The following is an 18872-nucleotide window of genomic DNA, read 5'->3' on the forward strand; positions in this document are numbered from 1 at the left end:
CTTAAACTACAGAAAAGTGATCAGGAAACAGTGTGCTTGACACATGGTTGCCAGCGATTACACTCACAGAGCCCTTCTGACTATAATGGAAAACCACAGGCCAGGCACAGTGGCTCACACCTGTAATCTCAACACTTTGGGAGGCCAAGGCGGGCAGATCACTTGAGGCCAGGAGTTCAACACCAACCTGGCCAATGTGGTGAAACCCATCTCTACCAAAAATACAAAAATTAGCCAGGCATGGTGGCATATGCCTGTAATCCCAGCTACTGAGGAGGCTGAGGTAGGAGAATCACTTGAACCCGGGAGGCAGAGGCTGCAGTAAGCCAAGATCACGCCACTGCACTCCAGCCTAAGCAACAGAGCCAGACTCTTGTCTCAAAAAAAAAGAAAACTACAAAAATAATTACTAAGTCATTAGCTTTAATACCAGAGTCACAAAACTTCTAAGATTAGCATAACAAAGTATCTTGAATTATACACATGCTGTTTCTTTTGGCACTGGCAGAATAAAAAGAAAGGAACAATGTGATGTAGAATCTCAATGTGCATGGGTGTTAGTTAATTAGGCCTTAATAACAGTGACCTGGAGAAGTGGTACGTAGAATTAAATACCTATGACTTAATGGTAAAAATGTAACAATCTATGTTTCATTCAAGTATCAACGCATTTAAAGAATGCCAGTAAATAAGAACATAAGAAAAGTCTACAATATCAACTTTTCCACACTATTGTTTTAGAAGTAGAAAAACTGGCCGGGCACGGTGGCTCACGCCTGTAATCCCAGCACTTTGAGAGGCCGAGATGGGCAGATCACGAGGTCAGGAGATTGGGACCATCCTGGCTAACATGGTGAAACCCCATCTCTACTAAAAATACAAAAAAAAATTAGCTGGGCGTGGTGGTGGGCGCCTGTAGTCCCAGCTACTCGAGAGGCTGAGGCAGGAGAATCCCGTGAACCCAGGAGACGGAGCTTGCAGTGAGCTGAGATTGTGCCAGCCTGGGCAACAGAGCGAGACTCCGTCTCAAAAAAAAAAAAAAAGAAAAATTATGAGAACTAGAAACAGAAAAGATAGGTGATGATGAATATAACATATTTAGTTATTTAGTTCTTCCACTACGAAGTAGTGGAACTGCTCAGAGCCTTATGTTGCTAATTTGTAAATTAAAGGTAGTAATGTCTATTGTGCCTACCTCACAGGATTTTTATAAGGCTCAAAGTGAAATCATCAATGTGGAACTATGTGGTATCCTATCAGTACTATGTGCATTAAAGATGGTTATTATTATTATTATTATTATTATTATTATTATTATTTCAGACAGAGTCTTACTCTGTTGCCCAAGCTGGAGTGCAGTGGCACTATCTTGGCTCACTGCAACATCCGCCTCCCAGGTTCAAGCAATTCTCCTGCCTCAGCCTCCCCAATAGCTGAGATTACAGGTGCCCGCCACCACGCCTGGTTAATTTTTGTATTTTTAGTAGAGATGCGTTTTCATCATGTTGGCCAGACTGATCTCGAACTCTTGACCTGATGTGATCCACCTGCCTCAGTCTCTGAAAGTGTTGGGATTATAGGCGTGAGCCACCATGTCCGGCCAAGATGATCATTATTAAAAAATAAGTTATGAATTTGTGAATATATCAAAATATGTAGACTGAACTGGGCCCAAAAGAATTAAGTCTAATTCATGAATCACCTTTTCTATTACTGCTAAATTTTGTTTTCTTCTATCAATGTCATACTAAAATAACATTTCTAATTGGAAATCCATTTTATATTTTAGAAACCAATTTCAAAACAGAGGTTCTATTTAATACAAAGCTTTTCAAACCAAAGAAAATCACATACATATTATAACATTTACCTTACACACAGTTTCTAGTCCATAAGAATTTTCACCTCGACTAGAAGCACCACCAATTTTTTCTACTCTATTTATCACACCAAGGGAAGCATCTAAAACAAATGGGGGATCCTAAAGAAGGAAAGAAAAAATAATTAAAACTGAGCAATTAATACTGTCCAATTATAGAGCTGATCAAAATCTTAATCAGAAATGCTTTAATTAGAAATGATCAGAAATGAACAAAACTAGCTACAAACAACACACTCATGTACATACAAAAATCTAATCTGACTCTTACCCGTTCCATGCTTTTGAAATATAACCTATAATTCGTGACAGTCAGAGTTCCTCGTACAGCGCCAGTGAATGGACATATATAAGTTACATCTTTGGCTGAAAAAGCAAGAAGTCCACAGTTTACTATACATTATGTGCTATTAAAACCTGCTATCTCATCTTATAAAATTGTTATGATTCCTAGACTAATTTATGCTGAAAAATAACAGAACCAGTAATTTCCAGAGACCTCAGAATCCTACAACCCAAGCTTCCATCCTTGCACTAATCTGGGGAAGAAACACAGAATTAAATGGGATAGGCTGAAAAGGTGGAGGGACTTCTCATCCCATGAGACAGAATGGAAGTAAACAAAGGGGCTACTATCCTGGCTAGATAAAACAGGTGTGGGTAGCTGCAGCAGAGACGGGTGAAAGAATACTGGTAATGGTGGTATCAACAATAAGCATGTCAAGGCACAGTCGCCATCATCTCATTGCAGTTTCTATGTAACCTCACCAATTTCCTGTCCAGTTTGTCAACATTCTTCTAAAAATGCAATGTCCAAAACATATGTTATTCCACAAACTCCTGATCTGATTAATACTTATGGGGAAAATTTTACAGGTGAAATGACACACATTTAAAATATAATTTCTTAGAAAAATAACAGTATAAGAAGAGGATATTGTACTGCTGACCAACCAATGCCAGACTTTGTAAAGAAATAATCACAAGTAATGTTTTATCAAATAAACAATGGATCTACATGGCATTATGTTTTGTAAAATATGCATTAACTGATTATGCAGGATAACTTAGGAATCAGTATCTCAAAATATTATTTAAAATGCCACAGTTCATAATTTCCAATACATGGTTTTTATATCTTAAAATATTCATAAATTCCTAGTATGTCATTATTACACCAAATCAGCAGATAAAGGAGTATCTTCATCATTCCAAGGAAGTAAGGGACAATTCTGTGGAGCAACAACTTTCTAAGACCCTTTCAACGGGCTTCTGGGAAAACTTGGGGCCATGAAATATATTTAATAAGGTATTACAACCTCCTGACTTTGCTTCTCATTCAACACTTCGAAGGACTGGCTGCTTTGTATGGAATTTGAAATGAGACTGATCTTTTCACAATCATTTCTAACCTTCAAAATAGTTCCCTTAGGAACATTTTAAGTATAAACTACTTTTTTAAATCGTTTCGAATGCATATTTCATTTAGAGGGAAGCTTTTAAAATTAAATGAACCCATCATTATACAAAAATACACAAACTTGCTTTGCACAAATAATATTTTTCCCTTATGAATTTTTACCTCAACTAGAAAAGCTTTATTCAAGGTTACTAAAACATTTCTGGATTCCTTCCACAGTCAATTTTCTTACTCATGTAAGAAAACTCAGCCTTATTATCCTATATCCCACCACAGGAATGTCATTCTCAGGCCAGTGCTTTTCTGTTACATCTTCCCCTTTATTCTAAAATCATGAGATAATATACATATAAAGATGCTTCTAAAGTTCTAAGTACAATACAAAAATTCAAGGGTTTATACCTATGTTACTATTATCATCATTAGTCTTTGCTTTGTTCTGTACCCTCTATCATTCCTCAAGAGATCATGACAATGGAGAAAAGAAGATAAATACAAGAAATTCTTAGACACTGACTGGATGTTAAGAGTCCAGAAAAGAAAAAAAGAGCAGTCTAGTACGACAACCAGATTTCTGACTTGAGTAAATGGACAGCTGGTATTGATGTCAACTGAGAGAGAGAATGCAAGAAAAAGAGTAAGTTTGGAGTTAAACGTGATGATTTCCATTTTGGAGATGTTGGGTATAAGGTTCCTATGGGATATTCAAGGATGTGTGTTTAAGATAGAGGCATTTGTTTACTTACATTAGGACAGGGGTTCACACTGGAGATAACAAATTTTGGAGTCATCAGCCAATATATGGCAAGTGATGTTACAAATTTAGATATGGTCAACCGAAAAGAGTATACAGGAGGGAAAAGGGAAATGGGTCAAGGATGAAGTCCTAGGGCGTGTTGCTATTAAAGGAAGAAGAGCCAACAAATGAGACTGAGTGGTAACTTGAAGTTCTTTAATAAAGCCATATTTCATAATGGGAGCTGCAATTACGGCATTAAGTTCAGAATAAGAAAAAGAAATTGTCACAATGCTAGATATAACCTTATTAGCTAGGTTATCTTCCTATGCCTTAGTTTCCTTCCTCACCTATAAAATGGGGTTGATGTTATTCTCAAGAATATACTCTCTGAGAATGACTGAGATAGTAAGCACTCAATAATAATAACTACTATCATTATATAATAGCCAATTCTGAAAAAATGTAAGTAGGTAGTTCAGATCAAGAGCTTGGTGTATATATAAGGCTAACTGGGGAAAAGAAAAAGACTGAGAGGTTATTCAATCAAGAGCCAAGAGCAAGAAAAGACAAATAGCATGCTAAGGACTAGGAAGCTAAATTTAGTAAATAATAATCCATTTAGAATACAGGTCCTGCCTTTGGCTTGTTTTTACACATAGAAATGACACCTAGCCAAGTAAAATTCAGCATTTTTAAAATCCTTTTTAAAAATTATGATTGGTAACAAAATGAAACATGGTAGTTATATTAACTAAGAAATCATTTACTTCATTCTTCTAACATATTACTTTATTTCTCAGAGTTTATGAGTAGATATCTGTAGATTATCACACAGATGAAACAAAACAAAAGCATGAGGAAAAAAAACACAGCTTGTAAGCTCATTTTCAGTTTCCAGTCCATATTATAAGTATTAGGCTGGGCAGAGAAGGGCATCTACATACAAACAGATGCAATGGAGATGATGTATTTCATCCAAAAATTAACCTGACTTTATTCAGAGAAGAAAGACATGAAGGAAGCAAACAGAAGAGAAGATATTTTAAGAAAAATTACTTGTATAAGGTGACAATTCAATGTTTTTATCTAGGCAACTCAATATCTGAATATAGTAATTCAAAATAATAAAATTTTCCTTCACAGGCTTCAGCAACAGTTTTAGCAAAAATCCACCTACTTTTAAAGAAAGTAAAACAAACCAGAGAAGAGGCAAAGTATAATTCAATTTGCATGTTTCCCAGGAGTTCAAACACAAACACTAGCAGCGGGTCTAGGCTTACGTTTGTAGAACACACTAAGATGCTGAGAAGACTGCAGGTAAAGAGTTCTGCCAGACAGGAGGTGTCTCTGACAGCCAGTTTATTCTCTGTATGCTGAGAGTACTGAACATTCTGCACAGTAGAACGGAGAAGGACATTAAGCAAAAAATACCATTACGGACCCATGTCTTTAATATTTTCTCCTGGAAGCAAGGGTGGTTCTTCCATTTCTGCTAACTTGTTAGACTCCCTCAGGACCTGGGGTGGGAAAGACAAAAAAAGAAACATTTTTTTATTCAAAGGCTACTTTTTCACTCATATTTCAACTGAGTATACTTGCTCTTGAAGTTATAACATCATATCACATACACTATTTTAAATCAAATTTGTTAAACTGTAGTGTTGGCATGTATAATATATGAAGTTAATGTTTTTCTAGAAAGCATTTACTGAGTGCTTAAATCATATCAAAGCACTCTACATTTGTTACACAAAAAATTGTACATGTTTTTGCACTGCATCCTAAGACAGCCTAACAATAAAAGAGGTATTATATCCTCATTTCTCAGATGAGGAAAAAGCAGCCGAAAGTGGTAATTAGTTCAAGATCACATAGTTAAAGTGCCAGTGTGTAGATCTGAACTACAGTTGAATGGATTCCAAAGCCATGCTGAAGGGCCATAGTACATTTAAACTCAGACAAAATTAAGTTCTTGTGTAGATTTAATGTTTAGAGAATTTAGAAATGATGTTGATAAATCATCTTGTTGAAAAAGAGTTTAAATAAATTCATGATCAACAAATATGACCAGGTAGTTACCTTTTGAAGGATGCTACACTATATTCCAAGAATGTGGATACAGAAACAGTTCTCTAAAGGAGTTACAACCCAGAGAACACACAGACACACCCAAATTGTCATATGCTAAATATATCCCCCATTAACTACCAAAAGCCTTCCTCACCTCCTCCCACCTCTCTCACCATCAAACAGTAAATTTCTGTCTCCAATCCCATTAATTCCTCCATCTTCCGCAATCTGGCTCACCTGCGGCCAATAACTAAGAACTACAAAGAACAAATTAACTTATTTTCAATAAATTTGCAATCTAAACAAATTCATTCTTTTGAAAGTTTAACAATTTGTTTCATAAAGTAACTTTAATGCAATACCTAAAGAAATAGTATATACACACATACATATTTTTATGTGCCACATCTAAACTTCAGAAAAGTCGTCTTTAAAGGTCATCTTTTAAACACGCTATCTAGTTGCCAGTCCCTAAATAGTCTTATGTAGTCATAAAAGAAGAGAAGAAGGAAAGAAGAGAGGAAAGGAGGACCAGCCTATGAAGATGGGGTTAAAAAGGCAAAAACTTGCCATATACAAAAATATAGACTTGGGTTCACATCCTGACTGCACCACATACTAACTTGGTACTCTTAGGCAAGGTTTTCAACTTCTCTATGCCTCATTTTCCGCATCTATAAAATGGTAACTATTATAGTACCACACATAGGTTGTTATGAAAATTAAATGGGTTAATACATTTAAAGTACTTATATCAGTGTTAACACATAAGATGTATGTAATAAGTGTTGTCTACTGTTAATAAAAGTTCAAACTAACAACTAATTGCCAGAATCTGCTAATAATTCTACTAATTATGAAAGCAACAAAATTAGACCCAAAGATAACAAAACAAATATCAGAGTATACCGAAAAAAATCAACCACGTGAAAGATTATAGAAAGGAAGATGCTTTATTCTTTCCCCGGTCTACCACCTCACTCAGAAATACAACGTTTATGTCACTTATAACGCTGGGCAGTAGTTCCCATATTGCATATGTATACCTTCTTGTGGCTGCTACAGCACTGCTCCACATGACTTCCTTTTTCTCTACATTTCTACATTCAGAAAGGACCAGCAACCCCCGGAAAATATTTATGTTATGTACAGAAGAGAAGAGGGTAGTTCTGGCAAAGGCACACAGAAACATGGGAGACACAATCCTCCTAAAGCTTCATAAAGTGAGAAAAGAGACAGGAAAACTCATGCAAGCAGCACACTTTGAGAACCACACATAGGCTTTCTTATATTCTCTCTGACCAGAATGTCAAAGAGCGAGGCAATGAAAAGAAGCAATACAAGATCCTATCTTTGTCCAGCAGAGCTGCTCTAGATGACAGACTTTTAACAATAGGCTTATGCTAAAGGTTGTATATAAACAACTAATTCTACACTGGAGATAGGAAAAGGAACTCCAACTAGCACTCAAGTGAACAGAACAGGGATGGGGCAATCTAGACCCTGTGTTTGTTGACAAACACTGATTCTAGACAAATCTATCCTTAATCAAACAGGAGAAAAGAGACTAGGAAAAAAAAGGCCTAGAAAAAAAAAAAAAAGACTTACAAAGAAAAGAGAATATCAACCCGAAACTTTAAAAAAGAAAGCAGTCTTCTGAAAATAATTCTCTATAGGCATTTGTAAAAGCATGTATAAGGTACTTGGCACACTCAAAAGGAAATAAGCCATATTTTCTAATAAACACAAAGAGAAGGCCAGGCGCAGTGGCTCAGCCTATGCTCTCAGCATCCTAGGAGGCCGAGGCGAGTGGACTGCTTGAAACCAGGAATTCAAGACCAGCCTGGACAACACGGCAAAACCCTGTGTCTACTATAAATGCAAAAAATCAGCTGGGCAGGCATGGCATCACGGGTCTACAGTCTCAGCTACTTGGGAGGCTGTGATGAGAGGACTACCTTGAGCCCCAGAAGTCAAGGCTTCAGTGAGCTGTGATGCACTCCACTGCACTCCAGCCTAGGCAATGGGAGTGAGACCCTGTGCTAAAAAAAAAAAAAAAAAAAAAAAAAAAAGAAAGAAAAAGAAAAAGAAAAAAAAGAAATAGAGTAGAAACAGAAAGTCATAAGGAGAGAGACACAATGAAACAAGAGAAATGAATGAGAATGACTGCAAGGACATTTAAAAATGTAATAGCAGAAATAAAATCTGTATGCAATTAGCAACAAATTGCATTGGTTATTCAGAAAACAGATTTAATGTTGAGGACAAACTTGAAAAGTGCTGTAAGAATTTGAAGGAAAAGAACAAAGATAAAATCATCATGGAAAATAATCAAGAAAAGAATTGTATTTTCTAAAGGAAAAAAAAAATAATCAAGAGGAGCAAAAAGTCCAATATATAATTGATGTTGATCAGAAGAGTTTACCATGTTCCACCCAAAATCAATGAACAGAGACATACCTAGTTGCATCTTGGCAAATTTTTTTGAACTAAAAGAATTAAAATATAAACTGTAAGAATATAGGTGGAAAAAAAATTACCTTTGAAGAAAGCAAAATCAAGTTAGCTTCAAGGTTATCTATAATACCATATTCTACAAGACAATAACAAAATGTGATCAAAGCTGTGAAGGAAAATGCTCCCAAAAAGTATTTAATGGCAGCAGGAAGTCATTCTCAGATAGCCAGGTCTCAGAAAATACAACCCAGAAATACTTTTTAGAAAAAAAAAAAGAAAAAGAAAAAAATATCTTAAACTGTGATTCAGCTAAAAAGGGAAAATCAAAATTAAAATATACAAGGGATTTGTGGTGTACTGCAAAACCTTATGTTTCATATCCTAAGAACCCCTAAAAAAACTCCACATTCACTACCACCATACTACGCTCTGAGTCTTAGTTTCACCATTCATGTTATTAACATGATATTAATACCCACCTTAAAAGTTAGCAACTATGAAATCAAGATAACTGCACCATAAAGAGATTTGCAAAACACCATGAAAATGAAAAAAAAAAAAAATACAGACAGTCCCTGACTTACAGTGGTTCAACTTATGGTATTTTCAACTTACAATGGGTTTATCTGGATGTAACCCCATCATAGGTCGAGGAGCATCTGTACTTATTATTCACGTAATAGAAGCATCAACAGAAGTTTTCACCGCCTTTTACCAAAATGGCCTATTGACATGGTGCTTTTTTCTCTGCTCTAGAGATTCCCTATATGACACACTTTCTCTAATACTCATCAAAGGGATTAATATTTGAGAAAGCATGTCATATAGGGAACCATAAATCAATCTCTCCCTGACTCCTAACTACTATATTCTAGATTTAGCTACAGAATAGTAAGCATCTCACTGTTGTAAGGAAAGCAGCAAATCTTTTCCCTTTCTTTCATTTCTTATGAGGACTGAAGACAGCTGCAATATTCCAAAGAGTCTGACACAACTTAGGAAAATTAATGGAATAATGTCTACCTGAGAGAATAAAGGAGATGGCTTGAGAAATAAAAATGGAGTAAAAGTTTAGGGTATCCTAGTGAAGGGTTTCAAGATGCCTTCAGCAAGACAGTCCATATCGTATGGGTCCATTTATATGAAATTCTGCAACAGACTAAACTATAGTACAAAAACTTCAAAACAGTTGTTGCTATGGGGATGAGAATGAGAGTGTGGACTGAAAAGGGGCATGATGAAAGTATCTGGGGTGACAAGTTCTATATCTTGACAGGGATTTGGGTTGTACAGGTGTATGCATTTTTCTAAACTCATAGAATGTACACTTAAGATTTCTGTATTTCAATAGATATAAATTTTATATCAAAAGAAAAATTACATATATTTATTTGCATGCTGACATATTTAGTTGGAAAACTACTAATGTCTGCAATTTACTTTGAAATGCATCAAAAAGTAAGCCAGATAAATAGATGGATAGAGGGACACACAGATGATGGATGTCAGATAAAAACAAGGAAGTAGGGTAAAACGTTAATGGAAAAATTCTGATGGTGGATACAGCAGGGTCCTTTGTAAACTTTATTTTGTGTTCAGAAATTTTTATAATAAAATACTGGGGAGAAGTTAAGGACTTTAAACTTGACCAGTCATGTAAAAAAAAACAAAACACTGCAGGCCTTTGATAGGGGCAGATGGCATGGTCAAGGAGGGCAAAGAAATGAAAAGGAAGAAGATGAAATGATGATAATCTACGAAAGAAATAGAATCCTGGATTAGTCTATGGTAATAGAAATAAAGAGGAATATGATACATTGGAAAAGTGATCAAATCTGACCCTAGGCTTATAAAACAAATAGAAGCAATTATATGAATAATACTTGATGATTTTTACTTGAGAGGAATTGCATCTCAGATATGTCAGCAATGGGAGAAGAGAGAAAGCAGATTCAATGAATAAATGAAGTGAGGTCAAAACAAGAGAGGCAACTCAAAAACACCAGGAACCTATCTTCTTTTTTTTTTTTAAGGTTCTTTTTTTCTTTTTCTTTTTTTTTTTATTATACTTTAAGTTTCAGGGTACATGTGCACAATGTGCAGGTTTGTTACATATGTATACATGTGCCATGTTAGTGTGTTGCACCCATTAACTCGTCATTTAACATTAGGTATATCTCCTAATGCTATCCCTCCCCCCTTCCCCCACCCCACAACAGGCCCTGGTGTGTGATGCTCCCCTTCCTGTGTCCATGTGTTCTCATTGTCCAATTCCCACCTATGAGTGAGAACATGCGGTGTTTGGTGTTTTGTCCTTGTGATAGTTTCCTGAGAATGATGGTTTCCAGCTTCATCCATGCCCCTACAAAGGACACAAACTCATCATTTTTTATGGCTGCATAGTATTCCATGGTGTATATGTGCCACATTTTCTGAATCCAATCTATCATTGTTGGACATTTGGGTTGGTTCCAAGTCTTTGCTATTGTGAATAGTGCCACAATAAACATAACGTGTGCATGTGTGTTTATAGCAGCGTGATTTATAATCCCTTGGGTATATACCCAGTAATGGGATGGCTGGGTCAAATGGTATTTCTAGTTCTAGATCCCTGAGGAATCGCCACACTGACTTCCACAATGGTTGAACTAGTTTACAGTCCCCACCAACAGTGTAAAAGTGTTCCTATTTCTCCACATCCTCTCCAGCACCTGTTGTTTCCTGACTTTTTAATGATCGCCATTCTAACTGGTGTGAGATGGTATCTCATTGTGGTTTTCATTTGCATTTCTCTGATGGCCAGTGATGATGAGCATTTTTTCATGTGTCTTTTGGCTGCATAAATGTCTCCTTTTGAGAAGTATCTGTTTATATCTTTCACCCACTTTTTGATGGGGTTGTTTTTTCTTGTAAATTTGTTTGAGTTCATTGTAGATTCTGGATATTAGGCCTTTGTCAGATGAGTAGATTGCAAAAATTTTCTCCCATTCTGCAGGTTGCCTGTTCACTCTGATGGTAGTTTCTTTTGCTGTGCAGAAGCTCTTTAGTTTAATTAGATGCAATTTGTCAATTTTGGCTTTTGTTGCCATTGCTTTTGCTGTTTTAGACATGAAGTCCTTGACCATGCCTATGTCCTGAATGGTATTGCCTAGGTTTTCTTCTAGGGTTTTTATGGTTTTAGGCCTAACATTTAAGTCTTTAATCCATCTTGAATTAATTTTTGTATAAGGTGTAAGGAAGGGATCCAGTTTCAGCTTTCTACATATGGCTAGCCAGTTTTCCCAGCACTGTTTATTAAATAGGGAATCCTTTCCCCATTTCTTGTTTTTGTCAGGTTTGTCAAAGATCAGATAGTTGTAGATATGTGTGATGCCTCCAGCTTTGTTCTTTTGGCTTAGGATTGACTTGGCAAGGCGGGCTCTTTTTTGGTTCCATATGAACTTTAAAGTAGTTTTTTCCAATTCTGTGAAGAAAGTCATTGGCAGCTTGATGGGGATGGCATTGAATCTATAAATTACCTTGGGTAGTATGGCCATTTTCACGATATTGATTCTTCCTACCCATGAGCATGGAATGTTCATCCATTTGTTTGTATCCTCTTTTATTTCATTGAGCAGTGGTTTGTAGTTCTCCTTGAAGAGGTCCTTCACGTCCCTTGTAAGTTGGATTCCTAGATATTTTATTCTCTTTGAAGCAACTGTGAATGGGAGTTCATGATTTGGCTGTTTGTCTGTTATTGGTGTATAAGAATGCTTGTGATTTTTGCATATTGATTTTGTATCCTGAGACTTTGCTGAAGTTGCTTATCAGCTTAAGGAGATTTTGGGCTGAGACGATGGGGTTTTCTAGATATACAATCATGTCATCTGCAAACAGGGACAATTTGACTTCCTCTTTTCCTAATTGAATACACTTTATTTCCTTCTCCTGCCTGATTGCCCTGGCCAGAACTTCCAACACTATGTTGAATAGGAGTGGTGAGAGAGGGCATCCCTGTCTTGTGCCAGTTTTCAAAGGGAATGCTTCCAGTTTTTGCCCATTCAGTATGATACTGGCTGTGGGTTTGTCATAGATAGCTCTTATTATTTTGAGATACGTCCCATCAATACCTAATGTATTGAGAGTTTTTAGCATGAAGCGTTGTTGAATTTTGTCAAAGGCCTTTTCTGCATCCATTGAGATAATCATGTGGTTTTTGTCATTGATTCTGTTTATATGCTGGATTACGTTTATTGATTTGTGTATGTTGAACCAGCCTTACATCCCAGGGATGTACATCCCACTTGATCATGGTGGATAAGCTTTTTGATGTGCTGCTGGATTCGGTTTGCCAGTATTTTATTGAGGATTTTTGCATCAATGTTCATCAGGAATACTGGTCTAAAATTCTCTTTTTTTGTTGTGTCTCTGCCAGGTTTTGGTATCAGGATGATGCTGGCCTCATCAAATGAGTTAGGGAGGAGTCCCTCTTTTTCTATTGATTGGAATAGTTTCAGAAGGAATGGTACCAGTTCCTCCTTGTACTTCTGGGCTGTGAATCCATCTGGTCCTGGACTTTTTTTGGTTGGTAAGCTATTAATTATTGCCTCAATTTCAGAGCCTGTTATTGGTCTATTCAGGGATTCAACTTCTTCCTGGTTTAGCCTTGGGAGAGTGTATGTGTCGAGGAATTTATCCATTTCTTCTAGATTTTCTAGTTTATTTGCATAGAGGTGTTTATAGTATTCTCTGATGGTAGTTTGTATTTCTGTGGGATCGGTGGTGATCTTCCCTTTATCATTTTTTATTGCATCTATTTGATTCTTCTCTCTTTTCTTCTTTGTTCTAGCGGTCTACCAATTTTGATCTTTTCAAAAAACCAGCTCCTGGATTCACTGATTTTTTGAAGGGTTTTTTGTGTCTCTATCTCCTTCAGTTCTGCTCTGATCTTAGTTACTTCTTGCCTTCTGCTAGCTTTTGAATGTTTGCTCTTGCTTCTCTAGTTCTTTTAATTGTGATGTTAGGGTGTCAATTTTAGATCTTTCCACTTTCTCTTGTGGGCATTTAGTGCTATAAATTTCCCTCTACACACTGCTTTGAATGTGTCCCAGAGATTCTGGTATGTTGTGTCTTTGTTCTCATTGGTTTCAAAGAACATCTTTATTTCTGCCTTCATTTTGTTATGTACCCAATAGTCATTCAGGAGCAGGTTGTTCAGTTTCCATGTAGTTGAGTGGTTTTGAGTGAGTTTCTTAATCCTGAGTTCTAGTTTGATTGCACTGTGGTCTGAGAGACAGTTTGTTATAATTTCTCTTGTTTTACATTTGCTGAGGAGTGCTTTACTTCCAACTATGTGGTCAGTTTTGGAACAAGTGTGGTGTGGTGCTGAAAAGAATGTATATTCTGTTGATTTGGGGTGGAGAGTTCTGTAGATGTCTATTAGGTCTGCTTGGTGCAGAGCTGAGTTCAATTCCTGGATATCCTTGTTAACTTTCTGTCTCACTGATCTGTCTAATATTGACAGTGGGGTGTTAAAGTCTCCCATTATTATTGTGTGGGAGTCTGAGTCTCTTTGTAGGTCTCTAAGGACTTGCTTTATGAATCTGGGTGCTCCTGTATTAGGTGCATATATATTTAGGATAGTTAGCTCTTCTTGTTGAATTGATCCCTTTACCATTATGTAATGGCCTCTTTGTGTCTTTTGATCTTTGTTGGTTTAAAGTCTGTTTTATCAGAGACTAGGATTGCAACCCCTGCCTTTTTTTGTTTTCCATTTGCTTGGTAGATCTTCCTCCATCCCTTTATTTTGAGCCTATGTGTGTCTCTGCACGTGAGATGGGTTTCCTGAATACAGCACACTGATGGGTCTTGACTCTTTATCCAATTTGCCAGTCTGTGTCTTTTAATTGGAGCATTTAGCCTGTTTACATTTAAGCTTAATATTGTTATGTGTGAATTTGATCCTGTCATTATGATGTTAGCTGGTTATTTTGCTCGTTAGTTGATGCTTTTTCTTCCTAGCCTCAATGGTCTTTACAATTTGGCATGTTTTTGCAGTGGCTGGTACCAGTTGTTCCTTTCCCTGTTTAGTGTTTCCTTCAGGAGCGCTTGTAGGGCAGGCCTGGCGGTGACAAAAATCTCTCAGCATTTGCTTGTCTGTAAAGGATTTTATTTCTCCTTCACTTATGGAGCTTAGTTTGGCTGGATATGAAATTCTGGGTTGAAAATTCTTTTCTTTAAGAATGTTGAATATTGGCCCCCACTCTCTTCTGGCTTGTAGAGTTTCTGCCGAGAGATCAGCTGTTAGTCTGATGGGCTTCCCTTTGTGGATAACCTGACCTTTCTCTCTGGCTGCCCTTAACATTTTTTCCTTCATTTCAACTTTGGTGAATCTGACAATTACGTGTCTTGGAGTTGCTCTTCTCGAGGAGTATCTTTGTGGCATTCTCTGTATTTCCTGAATTTGAATGTTGGCCTGCCTTGCTAGATTGGGGAAGTTCTCCTGGATAATATCCTGCAGAATGTTTTCCAACTTGGTTCCATTCTCCCCGTCACTTTCAGGTACACCAATCAGACATAGATTTGGTCTTTTCACATAGTCCCATATTTCTTGGAGGCTTTGTTCATTTCTTTTCATTCTTTTTTCTCTAAACTTCTCTTCTCGCTTCATTTCATTCATTTGATCTTCCATCACTGATACCCTTTATTCCAGTTGATCGAATCAGCTACTGAGGCTTGTGCATTCGTCACGTAGTTCTCATGCCACGGTTTTCAGCTCCATCAGGTCCTTTCAGGACTTCACTGCATTGGTTATTCTAGTTAGCCATTCGTCTAATTTTTTTTTCAAGGTTTTTAACTTCTTTGCCATGGGTTTGAAGTTCCTCCTTTAGCTCAGAGTAGTTTGATCGTCTGAAGCCTTCTTCTCTCAACTCGTCAAAGTCATTCTCTGTCCAGCTTCGTTCCGTTGTTGGTGAGGAGCTGCGTTCCTCTGGAGGAGGAGAGGTGCTCTTCTGACTTTTAGAGTTTCCAGTTTTTCTGCTCTGTTTTTTCCCCATCTTTGTGGTTTTATCTACCTTTGGTCTTTGATGATGGTGACATACAGATGGGGTTTTGGTGTGGATGTCCTTTCTGTTTGTTAGTTTTCCTTCTAACAGTCAGGACCCTCAGCTGCAGGTCTGTTGGAGTTTGCTGGAGGTCCACTCTAGACCCTCTTTGCCTGGGTATCAGCAGCGGAGTCTGCAGAACAGTAGATATTGGTGAACAGCAAATGTTGCTGCCTGATCGTTCCTCTGGAAGTTTTGTCTCAGAGAAGTACCCGGCCATGTGAGGTGTCAGTCTGCCCCTACTGGGGGATGCCTCCCAGTTAGGCTACTCTGGGGTCAGAGACCCACTTGAGGAGGCAGTTTGTCCATTCTCAGATCTCCAGCTGCGTGCTGGGAGAACCACTACTCTCTTCAAAGCTGTCAGACAGGGACATTTAAGTCTGCAGAGGTTTCTGCTGCCTTTTGTTTGGCTATGCCCTGCCCCCAGAGGTGGAGTCTTCAGAGGCAGGCAGGCCTCCTTGAGCTGCGGTGGGCTCCACCCAGTTTGAGCTTCCGAACCTATCTTCTTAAAATGGTGGTTGGGAACCAAGAGACCAAAGCCACTCTGGTCCATTAGGTTTTTCTGCCTTCACATGTAAATATCTTTAGTGGAGAATAAGTTACATAACCCTCAGATATGAGGGAAGAAAATTCACTCCTGGAGAAATCCTCTAGAATACATCAAGCACTTTCTCTTATTGGGTCAAAATAATGTTACTAACTGGCTAGCCAACCTGTTTTCTATGAGATGCATCAGAACCCTGCCTGACTCTGGAGCTCTGGCCACATCAATAGGTAAGATTCCATAAAATGTGCTATTTGATAGCATTTAATACAATATTTAATCCTTTTATTATCAAGAAAAGTCTGATAATCTTATTAAAACTCTTACTTCAAAACACACAAGATTCAAATTTATAATTTTTTTTATTCCTACTACATAATCAGTTTAGTATTCCTCCCTTCCCAGCCCTGATTTTCTTCCATGCCCACTTCATCAAATTATTTTCAAACTGCCCAGTAATTTTCCATGTGACTTTAACTTCTTTTTTCACTCCCTCCCTTTCTCTTCTCTCCCTCTCTCTTTCTCACACACACAGGCACACAAACACAAAAATGCACTCTCTCACACACACACAATTAGGAAATTACTATAAACTCGATCTAGAAGTTGGCAAGTTTAAGTCAGTTTTCACATGGAATGGTTAGATGGTAGAAAAATAGGAAAGAATTTGTCTGAAATCTGCAAAACACTAAATAATAATCACCTGAAAGGGAAAAATGAGTCTATACAGTTATAAACTATCCTCCACAGTCTTTTTACATACTGTACTAAAACCCAGAAGAGAAAAAAAGGATTTTCTTAGTAACTTATTTTTTGTTGGATAATCCTTCTAAAGAAAACTGTTTATATCAATTATACTTTATTCTATTTTCTCTACAACTTGACTGACAAGCCACGAAGTGGCCAAATGAACCATGCAAACAAAAATTCTAACAAGGTAGAGCCACAGACTGGCATCTGGGATAGATCTTAGTGGTTACACATTTCAAAGTACATTCAAGATCAAGCACAGGGAAGCCCTTTTTTTTTTTTTTTTTTTTTTTTTTTTTTTATATAACACAGTCAGGGACATTTTGGTTTTTCAGCTGAAACCACAACTAGCCAAAGCTGGAAAACGTTACATCACCATCCATGATTCAACAATAACAAAAAGGATGACTATCTAAAGAAGAATGGTCTAGAAAGCATCACTTCATGCTATGGGTTGAACTGTGCCCTCTAATAACGTTGTTGAAGTCTAACCACCAGTGCCTTAGAATGTGACCTAATTTGGAAATAGGGTTGTTGCAGATATAATTAGTTAAGATGAGGTCATACTGGTGTAGGGTGGGCCCCTAATTCAATATGACTGGTATCCTCACAAGAAGACAGCAATGTGAAGAAACAGGGAGAATGCCCCATGAAGAGGGAAGCAGAGATTGGACTGATGCATTTACAATCCAAGGAACATCAAAGATGGCTAACCCTCATGAGCAGCTAGGAGAAAGGTATGGAATAGATTCTCCCTCAAAGCTCTCTTGGTTGGCAGGTGCCAACCCTGCTAACACCTTGATTTCTGATGTCTAGGCTCCAGAACTATGAAAGAATAAATTTCTGTTGTTTTAAGCTACCCAGTTTGTGGTACTCTGTTATTATAGCAGCCCTAAGAAACGAATGCCTAATATCAATAAAAACTTCCAGATTTTAATCTTAAAATACAAGTTTTCATAACTATGAAAACTTAGAAGCAATCTGACCTTCAGCAGGAGAATGGATAAATGAATTGTGGTACGTCATACAAAGGAATATCATTCAGTAATAAAAAGAAATTAGCTATCAAGCCATGGAAAGACTTGAGGAATCTTAAAAGGATATTACTAAGTGAAAGAAGCCACTCTGAAAAGACCGCACACTAGATGATTCTAACTACATGACATTCTGGAAAAGGCAAAAATGTGGACACAGAAAAAGATTAGTGATTGCCTGGTGTTCAGGGAGAGGGGAAAATGAAAGAGGTGACGCAAAGGGGATTTTTAGGGCACTAAAACTATTCTACATGATACAGTAACAATGAATATATGCCACCATACCTTCGTCAAAACCCGCAGAATGTACACCACAAAGTATGAACCCTAATGCAAACTATGTATTTTAGTATTAATATAAAAATGTATCAGTATCGTTTCATCAGTTGCAACAAATGCACCACACAAGGTACAGTCAACGTAATAAATATCAATTCCTTCACTTTTCTGCAAAAACTTCTACAAAAAATCCTGTATCTCTAAAGGGTAACATATTATTCTATATATCAGCTAAGTCATAATTTAATGCTTCCTTGACTCTCATATTTAATCTATTTCTACATTTTGTCCTGTCTCATCCTTTCATTCCCCACACCAATATAGCCCCACTTCTCCATCCATAAGGACGAGCCCCACACCTTCTGATGTGTCCTTCTGAGCTATACTTCAGACAGTCCTTTCCAATAAATGATGGTTCATAATAGATTATATGCCAAAAACAAGAAAGACAGAAGATAGGTGAATAGATATAATATTATCTAAATTTCTTTCATTTCACCTCATACCAAGGAGAATGAGCCCAGTTTATGTACTGTTTTTAGAAGATCATTATTCATTCAGTGCTCTTAACACCCTTGAAAGATAAGTAGTATTCATATGCCCATTTATAAATGGGGT

At 37.2% G+C, this 18872-nt stretch overlaps 1 protein-coding gene across 23 annotated transcripts in view; it reads right to left on the reverse strand.

Annotated features, from left to right (window-relative positions):
- MTMR2 (myotubularin related protein 2) overlaps positions 1–18872 on the reverse strand; it is a 91228-nt gene that overhangs the window by 27242 nt on the left and 45114 nt on the right. For 18 of the 23 annotated variants that reach the window (NM_001440635.1, NM_001440649.1, NM_001440647.1 and 15 more), the window contains 3 exons: positions 5480–5555; positions 2151–2245; positions 1871–1981 (listed from right to left, as the gene is read on the reverse strand). In NM_001440635.1, coding sequence (NP_001427564.1) covers positions 1871–1981; positions 2151–2245; positions 5480–5525 — 252 coding nt within the window. In that variant the 5' untranslated portion in view covers positions 5526–5555. Of the gene's footprint in view, positions 1–1870; positions 1982–2150; positions 2246–5318; positions 5556–5666; positions 5692–6281; positions 6366–18872 lie in introns of all 23 variants that reach the window. The other 5 variants (NM_001440639.1, NM_001440631.1, NM_001440633.1 and 2 more) reach the window with 3 other exon arrangements.

Source organism: Homo sapiens, chromosome 11 (genome assembly GCF_000001405.40).
Source record: "Homo sapiens chromosome 11, GRCh38.p14 Primary Assembly".
Lineage (NCBI taxonomy): Eukaryota > Metazoa > Chordata > Mammalia > Primates > Hominidae > Homo > Homo sapiens.